Consider the following 18,385-nt stretch of genomic DNA (forward strand, 5'->3'; position numbering starts at 1 on the left):
TGAATTAAAACAGTGGTGGATCACGAGGTCAGGAGACTGAGACCATCCTGGCTAACACGGTGAAACCCTGTCTCTACTAAAAATACAAAAATTCAGCTGGGCATAGTGGTGGGTGCCTGTAGTCCCAGCTACTCAGGAGGCTGAGGAAGGAGAATGGCGTGAACCCAGGAGGCGGAGCTTGCAGTGAGCCGAGATTGTGCCACTGCACTCCAGCCTGGGTGATAGAGCGAGACTCAGTCTCAAAAAAAAAAACAAACAAACAGTCTTTAGAAGCAGTCAACAAACATGAAAAATTGCTCAAAAATTTCTCTACATCCTCACCAACATATTTTTTTATTTCTTTAATAATAAACCATTCTGACTGGTGTAATCATCAGATAAATGCAAATTAAAACCACGATGAGATACCATCTTACACCAGTCAGAATGGTTATTTTAAAGAAATAAAAAAAAAAAAAACAACAACAGATGTTGGTGAGGATGCAGAGAAAAGGGACTGCTTATGTGCTGTTGGTGGGAACGCAAATTAATTCAGTCTCTATGGAAAACAGTATGGAGATTTCCCAAAGAACTAAAAGTAGGACTACCATTCAATCCAGCAATCCCACTAGTGGGTATATACCCCAAAGAAAAGAAATCATTACACAAAAGACACCTGAACTAATACGTTTATCACAGCACTATTCACAATAGCCAAGTCATAGAATCAACTTAAGTGTCCACCAATGTATGATTGGATAAATAAAATGTGGTATATATACAGCCAACGGAATACTACTCAGCCATAAAAAGAATGAATTCATGTCTTGTGCAGCAACATGGATGGAACTGGAGGCCATTATCCTAAGTAAAATAACTTGGAAACAGAAAATCAAATACCATATGTTTTCACTTATAAGCAGAAGCCAAACAATGTATACCATGGGCATAGATAATGGAATAATAGTAGGCATTGGAGACTCCAAAAAGTGGGAGGGTGGGAGGGATGAGGTTTGAGAAATTACCTATTGGGTACAATGTACACTATTTGAGTGATGGTTACACTAATAGTCCAGACTTCACCACTATGCAATGTATCTATGTAACACAAACGTACTTGCATTCATTACATCTGTAAAATAAAAGTTTTTCCATTTATGTAGACACATTTCAACCTAACAGCACAGAATGCTTTGTCCTCGTTAGAACTCATAGAGTCATATCGGGGCCCAATTTGGGCTACTATGTAACATTTGGTGAAATATATTTTGATTACTTCTGTAATTATGCACCTCGTTGTATGCCCCCCTTTTTTTACTTCTGTTACAATATTTCCTTTGTCATATACATTTAAGATATTTTTCTTTGTTTTGCATATTGAGTAGGTTTCTTGAAATTCTTTTGGAACATGTTATGTAAATGAACAAATAAATCAATGGTGTGTTTCGAGTGACACTCAGCCCTGAATTTGACCCATTGTATCTCTACTTTCAAAAGCATTCTCTGAGATCTCCTTAAACTCACTGTTGTGCTGATGAGGGATTGATCCACAGAATGTAAGAAACATCTCTGGGGTCAGGTTCTAGAGGGAAAACGCTGAAGTAAAACTCACACCTGCCCAACTCCAAGTCAGGGCCTTTCTCACTCACAATGCTTCATAAATACGAGGAGATGGTAAAGTTGAAATAGAGCCGAATCCTGAGGCTTGCACATACGTAAAGGAAGGTCAGATCCGGCTGCAGGAAGAGAGTGGCCCTGGAATTGTGCCAGATTGAAAGCAAGAAACAGAGATTGAAAGCAAGAAGAAACAGTAATGGAGAGCAAGAAACAGATTGAAAGCAAGAAGAAACAGAGATTGAAAGCAAGAAGAAACATAGATTGAAAGCAAGAAGAAACAGAGATTGGAAGCAAGAAGAAACAGAGATTGAAAGCAAGAAGAAACAGAGATTGAAAGCAAGAAGAAACAGAGATTGGAAGCAAGAAGAAACAGAGATTGGAAGCAAGAACAGAGAGAGGACCGGCTGCAAGAATCCCCTTCAGAGCGAGGGACACAAACTGCTCAGGACTTTGAATCAATCCTCTTTCACCATCTCATCATTTCTGGCTGTTTCCCAGAAGACTTGGTTAATAAAAGCTTTTCTTCCCTCCACAAAACTTTCCCACAGTACTTACGGGTTTACTCTGGCTTCTCTTGATATCCCTCAATGGACTTGGCTCTGTTGACCTTCCCTCCTTGCACAATCGGTGCAGGCAGGGCAAGGGGGTGGGTGTCAGGGGCTGGTTCTCTGGAGTGGATGGACATTTCAGAGAGGCATAGAGAAGGTGCTCTTGGTCTGGGGCTGGTGAACTGCAGGTGGGTTCTGCAAAGGGAGAATTTACAGTTTATGGAGAACCGGAGGCTGAATTCTCAGGGCTCCTCATTAAATAAGTTGTTTTATTGTTGCTCAATTCTCCAAGCAGTTCAGCTCCTTGGAGGCCAAGCAATATAAATAAAAAGTGTTTCTGCCAGTTCATTCCCCGTGGGCTCACCTTTGGGACTAGACACATATTCCTTTCTATTCGATGGTTTTCATCTCCCTTAGAATGAACATCCTTCCCCCAACACTGGAAATGACCCCTCTTCCAGGGCACATCTCAGGAACCACCTCATGAATCTCCAAGTTTCTGAGGGACACTCGGTTTCCAGTGTTAGACTTAGACATATGGTTTTGTCCCCTAACCACATTCAACCAAAATGAGTTTTTTTTTTTTGTTTTTTGTTTTTGAGATGGAGTCTTGCTCTGTCGCCCAGGCTGGAGTGCAGTGGCGCAATCTTGGCTCACTGCAAGCTCCACCTCCCGGGTTCACACCATTCTCCTGCCTCAGCCTCCCGAGTAGCTGGGACTACAGGCGCCCGCCACCATGCCCGGCTAATTTTTTTTTTTTTTTTTTATAGTGGAGATAGCGTTTCACCATGTTAGTCAGGATGGTCTCAATCTCCTGACCTCATGATCCGCCCGCCTCAGCCTCCCAAAGTGCTGGGATTACAGGCGTGAGCCATGGCGCCAGGCCCGAAATGAGCTCTTAACTGCAGCTTTGTCCTGGCTTCTATTCTGGACACTGGAGACAGATTCTGGAGAAAAATTAATGGGCCATTTCCCTTGGTAGAGAGTAAAAAAGGCTCATTTTGGCTGCAGAGTTAGCGTTTTCTTGTCTCAGTTTCTCTGAGTTCAGTTATTCGGTTTCTTCATCTGGGCTAAACACATTCATATTTTTAATCCACATGATCTAATTTTTTGGGCTATATTTCTATGTATGTTATTTGGAGCATTTCTTCCCAATGGGAAGGAATTTGGATAAAAAATAATCAGCACCTGACAGTGACTAAGAGCATGCACTGGCAAACATTTTTGTAAAGGGCTCAGTGGTACATATTTTAGGCTTTTTGGGTCCTATGTTCTCTGTCACAATACTTAACTCTGCCATTGCTGTGAATGCAGGTGTATGCAATACTGACACTAATGGGCATGGCTGTTTGTATTAGCCTCCTGTGGCTGCTGTCACATGTAACCACAAACTGGGTGGCTGAAAACAACAGGAATGTATTCTCTTATAGTTCTGGAGTCCAGAAGTCCAAAATCAAGGTGCAAGAAGGGCCAGGCTTCCTCCAGAGTCTCTAACGGTGATTCTGTTCCTCGGCTTTTCCATGCTCTATGGCTCCAGGTGTTCCTGACCTTGCAGCTGCGTCATTTCAATCTCCTCTGTCTGTGTCATTTGGTTTCCTCTGCACCTGTGTGTGTTTTCTCCTGTGCATGTCGCTTATAAAGACACTGTGTCATTGAATTTAAGGTCCACCTGGATAATCCAGGATGATCTCATCTCAGGATGCCTAATTGTATCTGTAAAGACTCTTCATCCAAATAAGGCTACATTCACTGGCACTAGGGGTGAGGATGTGAGCTTATCCTTTAGGGGGGCCAACATTCAACTCACCAAACTTACTGTGCTCAAATAAAGCCTTTTTACAAAGAGGCTGTGGGTAGGATTTGGCCTGTGGGCAGTAGTTTGCTGACCCCCAGCTTAGAGGGTAGATTCAGATACAGGGAGCTGATAATCACAGAGGACACTAAAATTTAAAGAAAAGTTAAATATGGCTTCATTTCTGCTACTGTAATTCACCTATTAAAAGGACTGTCAGACTATCCACCATACTCTAATCTTTTATTATGCAAGCTGTAAATACAGATGAAGCTTCACTTGCTCACCTGCTGCTCACCTCCTCCCGTGCGGCCTAGCTCCTAACAGGCTGTGGACCAGTACTGGTCTGTGGCCCAGGGGTTGGGGACCCCTGCACTAAGTTATTTACTACTGTGGACCTATGGGGTGTAGGTGCTTTTTATTGAGCTTCCTGGTGTGTGTTGTTCAGTCTTTGCTGCAGTGACTGGGGCAGCTCTGCTTCATGCTGTGGACAGGCTGGGATGGTTCTACTCCATATGTCTTGTCAGTGGATTAGCAAGGGCATGCTCTTATTGAAATAGCAGAGACTTTACTGCTCAGCAGAAATATGCAAGGTCTCTTAGGGGCTACACTTAGAGCTGGCATGCTTTCTATAATCTCTTCCATTGAGGGAAGAGAGAGACCCTCTCATATTGTTTTATATTGTTTTATACTCAGTACCTGTTTTAAGAAAAAACAAAGAAGTGAAATCAAAGACAGGCAGCCCGGTGCCAGGCCCAAAACCAGGCCTGGGCCTGCCTGGCCTAAACATAGTAGTTAAAAATCAACTCATGACTTAGAAACCGATGTTATCCATAGATTCCAGACATTGTATAAAAGAACATTTTGAAACTCCCTGCTCTGTTCTGTTCCACTCTGGCCACCAGTGCATGCATCCCCTGTCACGTACCCCCTGCTTGCTCAAATCAATCATGACCCTTTCATGTGAAATCCTTAGAGTTGTGAGCCCTTAAAAGGGACAGGAATTTCTCACTCGGGGAGCATGGATTTTAAGACGCTAGCCTGCCGATGCTCCCAGCTGATTAAAGCCACTCCCTTCACTATCTCGGTGTCTGAGGGGTTTTGTTTGCGGCTCGTCCTGCTACACCATAATATAGAATTAGAGGGAACACTTCCTAACTCATTTTATGAGGCAAAAGTTATCCTGGTGATGGCTGGGCATGGTGGCTCATACCTGTAATCCCAGCACTTTGGGAGGCCGAGGCGGGTGGATCACTTGAGGTCAGGAGTTCAAGACCGGCCTTGCCAGCATGGTGAAACCCCATCTCTACTAAATATACAAAAAATTAGCCAGGCAAAGTGGTGCACGCCTGTAGTCCCAGCTACTTGGGAGGCTGAGGCAGGAGAATCACTTAAACCTGGGAGGCGGAGGTTGCAGTGAGCCAAGGTTGCACCACTGCACTCCAGCACTCCAGCTTGGGCGACACAGCAAGATTCCATCTCAAAAAAAAAAAAAAAAATTATCCGAGTGTCCAAACCAGAAAACATTTACAAGAAAGGAAATCTTCAAACCAATATACCATATGAACACAGATGCAGAAATTCTCAACAAAATTACAAAATTAACAAATTAAATCCAAAATATACAAAAATAATTATACACTGTATTAGTCCATTTTCATACTGCTATAAAGATACCACCCTGCCAGGCGCAGTGGCTCACACCTGTAATCCCAGCACTTTGGGAGGCTGAGGTGGGCGGATCACAAGGTCAGGAGATTGAGACCATCCTGATCTAACTCGGTGAAACCCTGTCTCTACTAAAAATACAAAAAATTAGCCAGGCATGGTGGCGGGCGCCTGTAGTCCCAGCTACTCGGGAGGCTGAGGCAGGAGAATGGCATGAACCCAGGAGGTGGAGCTTGCAGTGAGCCAAGATTGTGCCACTGCACTCCAGCCCCAGCGACAGAGTGAGACTCCGTATCAAAAAAAAGATACTACCCGATACTGGGTAATTTATAAACAAAAAAGGTTTAATTGCCTCACAGGTCCTTATGACTGGGGAGGCCTCAGGAAACTTACAGTAATGGAGGGGAAGCAAGACACGTCTTCACAAGGCAGCAGGAAAGAGAGGCAGAGAGAGAGAAGGGGGGCGTGCCAGACACTTATCAAACAGCCAGATCTTGTGAAAACTCACTCACTATCACAAGCACAGCAAGGGGGAAATCTGCCCCCATGACCCAATCACCTCCCACCAGGCCCCTTCCTTGACACATGGGGATTACAATTTGAGATGAGATTTGGGTAGGGACACTGAGCCATACCATATTGTACACCATGACCAACAGGACTTAGGTTAGGTCAGTCTCTTTAATAAATGCCATTGGGAAAACTTGATATCCACATGTGTAAGAATGAAATTGGATCCTATTTCACACCATATACAAAATTCACTCAAAATGGATTAAAGACTTAAACATTAGACCTGAAACTATAGAGCTACTAGATGAAAACATAGTGGAAAGACTGCATGACATTGGTCTGGGCAATAATTTTTGGGAAATGACCCCAGAAGCACAGGCGACAAAAGGAGACAAAATGTAAAATGAGATTACATCAAACTAAAAACTTCTGAATGGCAAAGAAAAGCAATGAGCAGAGTGAAAAGACAACCTATGGGTTGGCAGGAAACATTCACAAACCATCCATCTGATAAGGGATTCATATCCAAAATATATAAGGAACCCAAACAGCTCAATAGCAATAAAACATATATCCTGATATTAAAAAATGGACAAAGAACCTGGATAGATATACAAAATGGCCAACAGGAATATGGAAAATGCTCCTTTATTTATGTATTTTTTTTTTGAGACAGAGTTTCATTCTTGTTGCCCAGGCTGGAGTGCAATGGTGCGATCTCGGCTCACTGCAACCTCCACCTCCCGGGTTCAAGAGATTCTCCTGCCTCAGTCTCCTGAGTAGCTGGGATTAAAGGCACCCACCACCATGCCCAGCTAATTTTTGTATTTTTAGTAGAGACGGGGGTTTCACCATGCTGGCCAGGCTGGTCTCGAACTCCTGACCTCAGGTGATCCACCTGCCTCGGCCTCCCAAAGTGCTGGGATTACAGGCGTAAGCCACCATGCCTGGCCGGGAAAATGCTCCTTAACTGAACGGACCTCCTCTTGGCCAAAGGAATCCCAGAAAAACTTTTAAAACTTCACTTCCAGCCATGACGGGACGAGAGGTCAAACACACCTCGTTATACCCCTTCCTTTTCATGGTTCACTACACAACAACCAACCAGCATTAATAAAATAGAGACCATGAGACTGGCAGAACAGACTTCTTGCGGCAATAAGATACCCAATTATAAGCAGGGCCTAACGCCATGCCCGGCAAGCATTAAGTCACACACCCTACCCTTAAAGAATAATTTATGTTCTACCTGCCAAATGGTTTTTATTTTTCTCTAGCAGCTAAACAAGCTCTGGACTCAGGGTAAGCAATATTAAAACAATTTGCAGCTCCACCAGATACTAACTGACCCCCAGCCCCTATTCCAGCAGCCATAACTACAGCTTTGATTGGGCAAGAGACTGATTGGGCAACTTTCTCCTGATAAGACCACTGACTGTGGACTGGCTCTGGCTCGTCTACAGAGGCTGCTCACTTGCGTGCTTTTCTGTTCTGAAAAGAACTTTTGAGGGATAGGGTCTACTTGTAATACATTTAAATGTTAAAGTCTCCACTCCAAAGTGGGCATGGGTTGTATGTTGCATGAGTGTTTGTTTCATACACATGCACCAGGGCCAGCTTCATGAATATTCATATCTCCTCCTATAACCTGTTGAATATGTATGTCTAGCCAACCCATTGAGCATAAAGCTCTTAGCTCTTACCCCAACCCCTCCTCCTTAGAAATGCCTGTCTCTCTGGTATTGGCTAGAGGCTATGCTTCCCACTCTGTGGGATTGCCATCTTGCAGGCTGTAACCCTTTACAAGAAATAAAGTCTCCTTTCCTTTTCTAAATTTATAAATTGTGGGGGGTTTAAAAGTTAACATAGCCACATAAACATGTTTCCCTTAGTTTAGAAGGGAAAAACAATTTTCTGGAGATATCAAGGGCTGTGTCCCCACCGCAAGTCAATGCTTTTTGATGATCCTAAGGACCTAATCAAGAGAGTTTCCTTGAGTCTCTGAGTTTGTGCGTGTGTGTGTGTGTGTGTGTGTGTGTGTGTGTCTGTGTCTGGGTGTGTGTGTGTTGAGACAAGGTCTTGCTCTGTTGCCCAGGCAGGCGTACAGTGGTGCAATCATGGCTCACTGCAGCCTCTACCTCCCCAGCTCAAACGATCCTCCCACCTCAACCTCCCAGGTAGCTGGGACTACAGGAACATGCCACCATGCCCAGTTAATTTTGAAAAAATGTTTTGTAGAGATGGGGTCTTGCTATGTTGCCCAGGCTGGTCTTGAACTCCTGGGCTTAAGTAATCCACCCCACTTGGCCTCCCAAAATGTTGGGATTACAGACATGAGCCGCCATGTTCTGCTGAGTCTCTGACTTTAGAGGAAACTTTCAGTGAAAGGAGCGTACCCCATAAGTGTATATATCTACTATATACCCACAAAAATTCTTTTAAAAAGTTAAAGAAAGGAGTGATAAGGTGTGTGATGGTTAATACTGAGTGTCAACTTGATTAAACTGAAGGATGCAAAGTATTGATCCTGGGTGTGTCTGTGAGGGTGTTGCCAAAAAAGATTAACATTTGAGTCAGTGAACTGAAGGAGGCAGACCCACCCTCAATCCGTGTGGGCACCATCTAATCAGCTGCCAGTGTGGCTAGAATAGAGCAGGCAGAAGAAATTGGAAGGAGCCGACTTGCTGAGTCTTCCAGCTTTCGTCTTTCTCCCATGGTGAATGCTTCCTGCCCTCGAACATCAGACCTCAAGTTCTTCAGCTTTTGGACTCTTGGACTTACAGCAGTGGTTTACCAGAGGTTCTTGGGCCTTCAGCCGCAGACTGAAGGCTGCACTATTGGCTTCCCTAATTTTGAGGTTGTGGGACTCAGATTGTCTTCCTTTCTGCTCAGCTTGAAGACGATCTATTGTGGGACTTCACCTTGCGATAATGTGAGTCAATACTCCTTAATAAACTCCACTTCATATATATATCTATCCTATTAGTTCTGTCCCTCTAGAGAAGCCTGACTAATAGAAGGTGCTAGGAGGTTAGATATCTGGAAGGCAGGTGAGTTATTGGAGAAGGAGTAAAAATTAATCAAATAAATAAATAATTGGGTTCACCTAATGTCTAACATGGTCTCTTGGGAACAGAGAATGAGCAGGAAAAATTTCCTTACTGTCCAGACAGGAGTCCACAGAGAAATCAGACACTTACGGGTTAGTAAGTTCCAGCAGTAAGAGGGGAGGTGCCTAATGAGCAGATACAGGGAGCTGTGGCCCTCAGAGAATACAATAGAGAAAAAAAATGTCTAACAAACCCACTAATAGATTAACCCTCACAAGGAAATAATTGCAAAGTAAAGCTTGCTATCATACCCCAAAAGTAGGCTAGCTAATCTGAGTCCCAGACTGGGGACTGGGCTGAATGGGACCCTTCAGCCCATTCCAGGTGGGAATGGAAGTTCAATTGTTAAGACTCTGCACAGGACATGATCTCATTCCTTTTTATGGCTGCATAGTATTCCATGGTGTATATGTACCACGTTTTCTTCAACCAGTCTGTTGTTGATGGGCATTTAGGTCGAGTCCATGTTTTCACTCCAATTAATGGATCTACTTTAAAAAATAGTGGTCATCTTTTGCCGCTATGTAGAACATAAATCTGGCTAGAGGACCTATGCCTCACTCTTTCCTGCTGTCTCGTCTGGGGACAGAGCTTCATCCTCTATCATCAACCATTCAGGGTAAAATTCAGACTTCCATCTGGAGATCCTCTTCTCTGAGACCCCATCCAGGTGAGCCCAGGAGCCCTCAGCAGGTTTCATGGGAAAGGTTCAGAGAGAACGGAAGCTGGGAATGTTTACCTGAAGTCACCTGAGAGCCAATCCAACTTAGGCCAGCGCCAAGAGGTTGCTATGTTTGTTTGCTTAGTTGACTGATTATTTCATAATCAATCTATTTAGTATGCTAAAAAGAGCAGTGTCTGTTAGACTCAGCAATGCAGAGACCACTGCTGACAATTAAGTGGTGGGAATGGAATTCCAATTGGTAAGACTGAAGAAGGAATGGGAGCTAAAAAGTGGTGCTGGTAACATCAGTTCATAGTCAAGGAGTTTTGCAGGTAAGAGAGAAAAAAAACTGAGTATTAAGTGTAAAGGATATGCAGCAAAGTGAGGGCTTTTAAAATATTTTTAATATTGGGTGTATTTTGAGTATGTTCCTGTATCCATTAAAAAGATCACACCAATGTATTATTTGCAAATGCTACCTTGCCACAGCAGTTAATAAGTCATACATTTTATTTATTTTATTTATTTATTTATTTATTTATTTATTTATTTATTTATTTTTGAGACGGAGTCTCGCTCTGTCCCCTAGACTGGAGCGCAGTAGTGGCACGATCTCGGCTCACTGCAAGCTCCGCCTCCCAGGTTCACGGCGTTCTCTTGCCTCAGCCTCCCGAGTAGCTGCGACTACAGTTGCCCGCCACTACGCCCGGCTAATTTTTTTGAATTTTTTAGTAGAGATGGGGTTTCACCGTGTAACCCAGGATGGTCTCGATCTCCTGACCTCGTGATCCGCCCGTCTCTGCCTCCCAAAGTGCTGGGATTACAGGCGTGAGCCACCGCGCCCGGCTGATAAGTCATACATTTTAAAGTATCTTTTCTCATGCGGGTTATCCAGATGAAAAAAATATGTTTATTTAATAAGTGAAAAGGGGTATGATAGCAAGCTTTACTTTGCAATTACTTCCTTACTTGTGAGGCTTAATCGATTAGTGGGTTTGTTAGATAGTTCCTGTTTCTATTGCAAACAGTCTTTGCGAGATCTTTGCTTTTGTATAGCGAGTTTGCAGTGTTTTCATTCCTGTATTTGATTGCATTTTTTTCAAACATAAGAATGGGAGTTGGTGAACGTTTTTTCACCAACGTTGTTGTTTGCCATTTAGTTCTTTTTGTATTTATAGATGCGCTTGGGGTGAATGCGTTAAAGTTTATCAGTTTTGTGCGGTCAGGTCTATCAGTGGGTCACACTGTGTATCTCCCTTCTGTTGCATTTTAGATAGTTTAGAGAGTTTAAAAAGCTTTCTACATATTTCATCGCAATAAATCACCTTTTATATGTATTTCCACCTTATTTCACACATTTTTTTCTTTCTTTTTTATTATACTTTAAGTTTTAGGGTACATGTGCACAACACGCAGGTTGGTTACATATGTACACATGTGCCATGTTGGCGTGCTGCACCTATTAACTCGTCATTTAGCATTAGGTATATCTCCCCCCTCCCCCTGCCCCATAACAGTCCCCGGTGTGTGATATTCCCCTTCCTGTGTCCACATCTTTTTTCTTTATTGCCACCTTTCTTTTTTCTTTTTTGCAATCAGATCTATTTTTTTTAAATTTAAAATTTTATTTTAATTTCGGGGGTACATGTGCAGGATATGCAGGTTTGTTACATAGGTAAACATGTGCCATGGTGGTTTGCTGCACCCATCAACCCATCACCTAGGTATTAAGCCCAGCATGCATTAGCTATTTTTTTTAATGCTCTCCTTCCCCTCACCCCCACCCCCTGACAGGCTCCAGTGTGTGTCGTTCCCCTCCCTGTGTCCCCGTGTTCTCACTCTTCAGCTCCCAGTTATAAGTGGGAACATGTGGTATTTGGTTTTCTGTTCCTGGGTCAGTTTGCTGAGGATAATGGCTTTCAGCTCCAGCCACATCCCTGCAAAGGACATGATCTTATTCCTTTATATGGCTGCATAGTATTCCAGGGTGTATATGTACTACATTTTCTTTAACCAGTCTATTGTTGATGGGCATTTAGGTTGATTCCACGTTTCCAATTAATCAGAACTACTTTTAAAAATAGTGGTTATCTTTTGCCACTATGTGGAACATATTCTTATACCCACGTTGAGATTTCCTGTGTATTCTTCATGTAAGCATATTTTAATCCATTTCAGTTTGTATAAGATGAAATCATAACTTTACATACTGTTGTTTTCTTCCACTGCTTTAAGAAAGTATATTTTTATATTCTTTCATTTCCAAGTTTTTGTCAACTTAATCTCAAATTCGAAACCCATGTTGATGTGATTAATGGTTATTTTCTATCTTTTTCTTTGATCATTTATTTTATTTTTATGCGTTTATTTATTTATTTAGAGATACAGTCTCGCTCTGTCACCCAGCCTGGAGTGCAGTGGCACAATTTCAGCTCACTGCAGCCTCAACCTCTTGGGTTCAAGTGATTCTTGTGCCTCAGCCTCCCGAGTAGCTGGGATTACAGGCATGCGCCGCCACTCTGCCCAGCTAATTTTTTGTATTTGTAGTAGAGACAGGGTTTTACCATGGCAGTCAGGCTGGTCTCAAACTCCTGGCCTCAGGTTGATCTGCCCACCTTGGCCTCCCAAAGTGCTGGGATTACAGGCATGAGCCACTGCGCCGGGATAGATCATTTATTTTAGAATTTTATTCAGTTTTGTTCAATGTGGTTGTTTTGAATCCACCTTATTTAACCAAGCTTTATTTTCCCAGCCATTCCTTTTGTTTAATAAGTTCTTAATTTAAAAAAATGTGTTTCTCAATGAAAATACATGGACATGGGGAGGGGAACATCACACATGGGGGCCTGTTGGGGGGTCGGGGGCAAGGGGAGGGAGATCATTAGGACAAATACCTAATGCATGAGGGGCTTAAAACCTAGATGACGGGTTGACAGGTGCAGCAAACCACCATGGCACATGTATAGCTATGTAACAAACCTGCACGTTCTGCACATGTATCCCAGACCTTAAAGAAAAAAAATCACACAGGAAAAAAAAAAGTGTTCCTATGTAGACGTACAACTTTTTGTGAAACCACAACAGTGAAGAAAGCAGGTGAAATCCCTGCTAATTTAGATCTTACCTTGTAATGGAAAGGGCAGAAAACAATGGAATAAATGTGTGTCTGACATAAAGTCCCCAGAGGTAAGTCATATGAAGAAAAATGATAGATTGTCGTGGCAGGGGCAGGATTTTCTAAAGTATGGTCTGGGGAGGTCTTTGCATCTTGCACGAGGAACGGAATTGGACTAGAGAGTGCCCACTGGATTTGTCAGAAAAGAGGGAAAAACTCAATACCTGGGAATTACAAAGAACAGATCCCACAAGGAAAAGTGAGAGAAAGGCCTGCCTCATCTACTACTGGACCATATAAAAACATGTGTGGGCCGGGCATGGTGGCTCACACCTGTAATCCCAGCACTTTGGGAGGCTGAGGTGGGTGGATCACGAGACCTGCCTGGCCAACATGGTGAAACCCTGTCTCTACTAAAAATACAAAAATTAGCTGGGTGTAGTGGCAGGTGCCTGTAATCCCAGCTACTTGGGAGGCTGAGGCAGGAGAATCGTTTGAACCTGGGAGGTGGAGGTTGCTGTGAGCTGAGATCGCGCCATTGCACTCCAGCCTGGGTGACAAGAGTGAAACTCTGTCTCAAAGCAAAAATAAAAACAAAAACAAAACATGTGTGGTCCATAAATATGGAATAGATACAGGAATAACAATTAGATCAGGGGTCTGATGTGAATTCTGTAATGAGGCAAGTGGATCAATGAAATTCTGCTCAGGGTATGGGCCCTGGAGTCCGGAGATAATGTCAGTTCTACGCTGGCTACCTGTTCTCCCAACAGTGTGGCTCTTCTCTTGAGCTCTTCATTCAGGCTGCATTTCCCAGGAACTTGCCTTAAAAACAAAAAACAAAAAACAAAACAAAACTATTCCGCCTTTACTGCAGTGGATTCCACACTCTTTGTGTCTGAAAGTAAGAAATACCTTTTACATCATGAGCCAGCATGCCTGCACATGCAAATATACACACACAGGTGGCTGAAGAAAGAGTATCATGAAACTAGTTTGTAGGTACCCTTATCATATATGATGTGCTTGAATATTTTCTTCTGCATTTTATTCATTCTATGCTATTTAAATCTTACGTACCATAGCACAACCCCTCAATCAGTCCCAATCTCAGAATATGGACAACATTCTCCTAGTGTGTCCTCCACACCTGTGTTAGCATCTCCCTGTATCTTTTATTTCCTCATCAGCAATTGCTGGGACAACACAAAATGTCCCTCACCATTGTCACCATTCTTCTTTCTACTTCTATGAGTTCATTATCATTTTAAGATTCCCCATGTACGAGTGTGCAGAATTTGTTTCACTGTGCCTGGCTTATCATTTAATGTAATGTCCTCCAGGTTCATCCGTGTGGTCACAAATGACAGGATTTCCTTCTTTTTAAAGGCTGAGTGGTGTTCTATTGTGGATATGCACCACGTATTCTTGATCTATTCATTCTTTGGCGGACACTGAGGTTGACTCCATATGTTGGCTTTTGTAAATAGTGTTGCAACGAATGCGGAAGTGCAGATATCTCTTCAACATACTGATTTCATTTCCTTTGGCTATATATGCAGTCATGGGATTATACACATATGGTAGTTCTATTTTTAGTTTTTTGGAGAACCCCCAACTATTTTCTATAATGCTTGTACTACCTTAAGTTTCCACCAAAAAGGTACATGGGCTCCCTTTTCTCCAGATCCTCATCAGCACTTATCTCCTGTCTTTTTTTTTTTTTTTTTTTTTTTTTTTTTGAGATGGAGTCTCGCTCTGTCGCCCAGGCTAGAGTGCAGTGGTGCGATCTCAGCTCACTGCAACCTCCACCACCCAAGTTCAAGCAATTCTCCTGCCTCAGCCTCCTGAGTAGCTGGCATTACAGGTGCCCGCCACTGCGCCGGCTAATTTTTGTATTTTTAGTAGAGATGGGGTTTCACCGTCTTGGCCAGGCTGGTCTTCAACTCTTGACCTCGTGATCCACCCGCCTCAGCCTCCCAAAGTGCTGGGATTACAGGCATGAGCCACCGCACCCAGCCACCTGCCTTTTTTATAATAGCCGTCCTAACAGGTTTGAGGTGACATCTCATTGTGGTTATAATGTACATTTCTCTGATAATCAGTGATGTTGAGCATTTTTTCATGTACCTGTTGGCCAGCTGTATGTCTTCTATTGAGACATGTCTCTTCATGTCCTCTGCCTATTTTTTTTTTTTTAAACTGGGTTACTTGTTTCCTTGATGTTGAGTTTCTTCTATATTGGGATATTAACCCCTTATCATATGTGTGGTTTGCAAATGTTTTCTCTCCTTCCATAGGTTGCCTCTCTGTTGATTGTTTTCTTTGCTGTGCAGAAGGTTTTTAATTTGATGTAATCCCACTTGTCTATTTTCACTTTCGTTGCCTGTGTTTTGAGGGGTATATTTTAAAACCATTGCCCAGACTACTGCTTTCTGCCTATATTTTATTCTGGAAGGTTTATAGCTTCAGGTGTTATCCTTAAATGTTTTTAAAAATTTGCGTAAATTGGTTGGGTGCAGTGGTTCATGCCTGTAATCCCAGCACTTTGGGAGGCTGAGACGGTCAGATCACTTGAGGTCTAGAGTTCGAGACCAGCCTGGCAAACATGGCGAAACCCCATCTCTACTAAAAATAAAAAATTAGGTGGGCGTGGTGGCATGTGCCTGTAATCCCAGCTACTCGGGAGGCTGAGGCAAAAGGATTGCTTGAACTTGGGAGGTGGAGGTTGTGGTGAGCCAAGGTTGTGCCACTGCACTCCAGTCTGGGCGACAGAGCAAGACTCCGTCTAAAAAAATAAAAAATAAATAAAATTTGTGTAAATTTAAGGGGTGTAAGTGCAGTTTTGTTACATGGGTATTTTGCCTAGTGGTGAAGTCTGGGCTTTTAGTGTAACCATCACCCAAATAGTGTACATTGTACCCATTAAGTAATTTATCAGTCCTAACCCCCTCTCATCTTCCCACCCTTCTGGGTCTCCAATGTCTATTATTCCACATTCTATATTTATGTGTCCACATTATTTAGCTCCCACTTGTAAGTGAGAACATGCAGTATTTGACTATTTCTGAGTTATTTCACTTAAGATAATGGCCTCTAGTTTCATCCGTGTTTGAGTCTTTAACCTATTTTCATTTAATTTTTGTATATGGTGTGAAATGAGGGTCTAATTTCATTCTTCTGCATATGGATATCCAGTTTTCCCAGCACCGTTTATTGAAGAGATGGTACTCTCACTATTGTGCTTTTTTTTTTTTTGGCAATTTGTCAAAAATAAAAATTGGCTGTAAATTCATGGATTTATTTCTGGGCTCTGTATTCTTTTCCATTGGTCAATGTGCCCCAATACAGTGTGCTTTCCATTTACCTTTTCCCCTCTGATTCACATGAATAATAAAACAAAGTCCCCAGATTTTCTAGATAATAAGTGTATCCATACATGGAGCTCCCTAACTTTTATGGCTTTCACCCAAGGGACAGGATCCTAAATTATTTAGCTCTGGGAGTTGATGGGGCTCTGCATTCATGAATCCCTTGAAACCAAAGAGAACAAAGAGGTAACTTTCTTTTTCAACTTTTATTTTAGAATCATGGGGTATATGTGTAGGTTTGTTACAAAGATATATTGTGTGACACTAAAGTTTGGGGTATGGCTGAACCCATCACCCAGGTAGTGAGTACCCAAGAGGTAGTTTTTCAGCCCTTTTCCTACTCCCTTTCTCCCCACTATAGTAGTCTCCAGTGTCTGTTGATCCCAACTTTATGTCCGTGTGTACCCAATGTTTAGCTCGCACTTATAAGCGAGAACATGAAGTATTTGGTTTTCTGTTTCTGCATTAGTTCACTTAGGATAATGGCCTTGAGTTCTCTCCATGTAGCTACAAAGGACATGTTTTTTTCTTTTTTATGGCTGCATAGTATTCCCTGGTGTGTACATACTACATTTTCTTTATCCAATACACCATTGATGAGCACCTGCAATGATTCCATGTCTTTGCTATTGTGAATAGCACCACAGTGAACATATGGGTGAATGAGTCCTTTTGGCAGGATGATTTATTTTCCTTTGGCTATATACTCAATAATGGGATTTCTGGGTCAAATGGTAGTTCAACTCAGTTTTTTGAGAAATCTCCAAACCGCTTCCCACAGTGGCTGGACTAATTTACATTCCCACCAACAGTGTATAAGTGGATATTATGCTCATGAAATAAGCCAGAGAGAGGAATAAAAAATGCTACATTATTTCACTTATATGTGGAATCTAAACAATGTCAAATACTGACCAGGTGTGGTGGTGGTTCATGCCTGTAATCCCAGCATTTTGGGAGGTCAAGATGGGATCACCATTTGAACTCAGGAATTTGAGACCATCCTGGGCAACAGAGCAAGATGTCATCTCTACTAAAAATATGAACAAGTGAGCCAGGCATGGTGGTGTGAGCCTGTGGTTCCAGCTACTCAGGAGGCTGAGGCAAGAGGATGGCTTCAGCCTGGGAGATCGAGGCTTCAGTGAGCTACCATCACACCACTCTACTTCAGTCTGGGTGACAGATTGAGATCTTGTGCTTAAAATGTAAAATACATAGAAATAGAGAGTACAATTCTGGTTATGGAGGGGTGAGAATGGGAGGAGTGGGGAATGGGAAAATGTGGGTCAAAACGTACAGAGTTGTGGTTATGTAGGATGAATAAGCCTAGACATCTAATGTACACTATGACGACTATAGTTAAAAATATTATACTGTACACTGTGAATTTTCTAAGAGTAGAGTTTAGGTGCTCTTTCCACCAAAAAAGGTAACTATTTGAGGCGATGGACTCAGGATCTTTTCATTTGCTTTAGCCAAAAGAATATGGTGGAATTGAGTGTCCCTCAAGGGAACTTGGCATGTTTCTGTTGCTCTCTCCTGTAACTCTGCCTCTGCCATGCAAACAAGTCCAGGCCAGCCAGCTTTAGGAGGAGAGGACATGTAAAGCCATGTTAAGACAGTTGGCAAGCTGTCCCAACTGTGGCCACCCTAGGTCAGCCCACAGCCAACAAGCCTCCAAATGTAAGAGAACTCGGGCAAGATCAGCAAAGCCCTACTGTTGACTCACAGCTGACTACAGCTTCATGAGGAGGACAGCAGAGACCAGAAGACACCCCCAACGTAGACTCCCTATGAGACAAGAAAAGCATCATCTTAAACCATTTACTATGAGATGACTTGTTATTCAGCAATAGCTTACTGATACAATAAGCATTGCAAATAGGACTGAGGACATTCAGAATAGTCTGCTGCTTCTTATTTTGGCATTTGTTCTAATACTTGGAAGCATTCATGATTCCCTGGATACTCATGTATAATTCAGATAACTGTATTAAAAAAAAGACTA

At 42.6% G+C, this 18,385-nt stretch overlaps 1 protein-coding gene across 1 annotated transcript in view; it reads right to left on the reverse strand.

The window, feature by feature from the left end:
- Positions 1–18,385, reverse strand: part of OR7C1 (olfactory receptor family 7 subfamily C member 1) — a 36,671-nt gene that overhangs the window by 9,140 nt on the left and 9,146 nt on the right. Inside the window, exon 2 of the mRNA NM_001370485.4 lies at positions 2,152–2,339. The gene's annotated coding sequence lies outside the window, so the exon portion shown is untranslated. The remainder of the gene's footprint in view (positions 1–2,151; positions 2,340–18,385) is intronic.

Source organism: Homo sapiens, chromosome 19 (assembly GCF_000001405.40).
Source record: "Homo sapiens chromosome 19, GRCh38.p14 Primary Assembly".
In the NCBI taxonomy this organism is placed as follows: domain Eukaryota; kingdom Metazoa; phylum Chordata; class Mammalia; order Primates; family Hominidae; genus Homo; species Homo sapiens.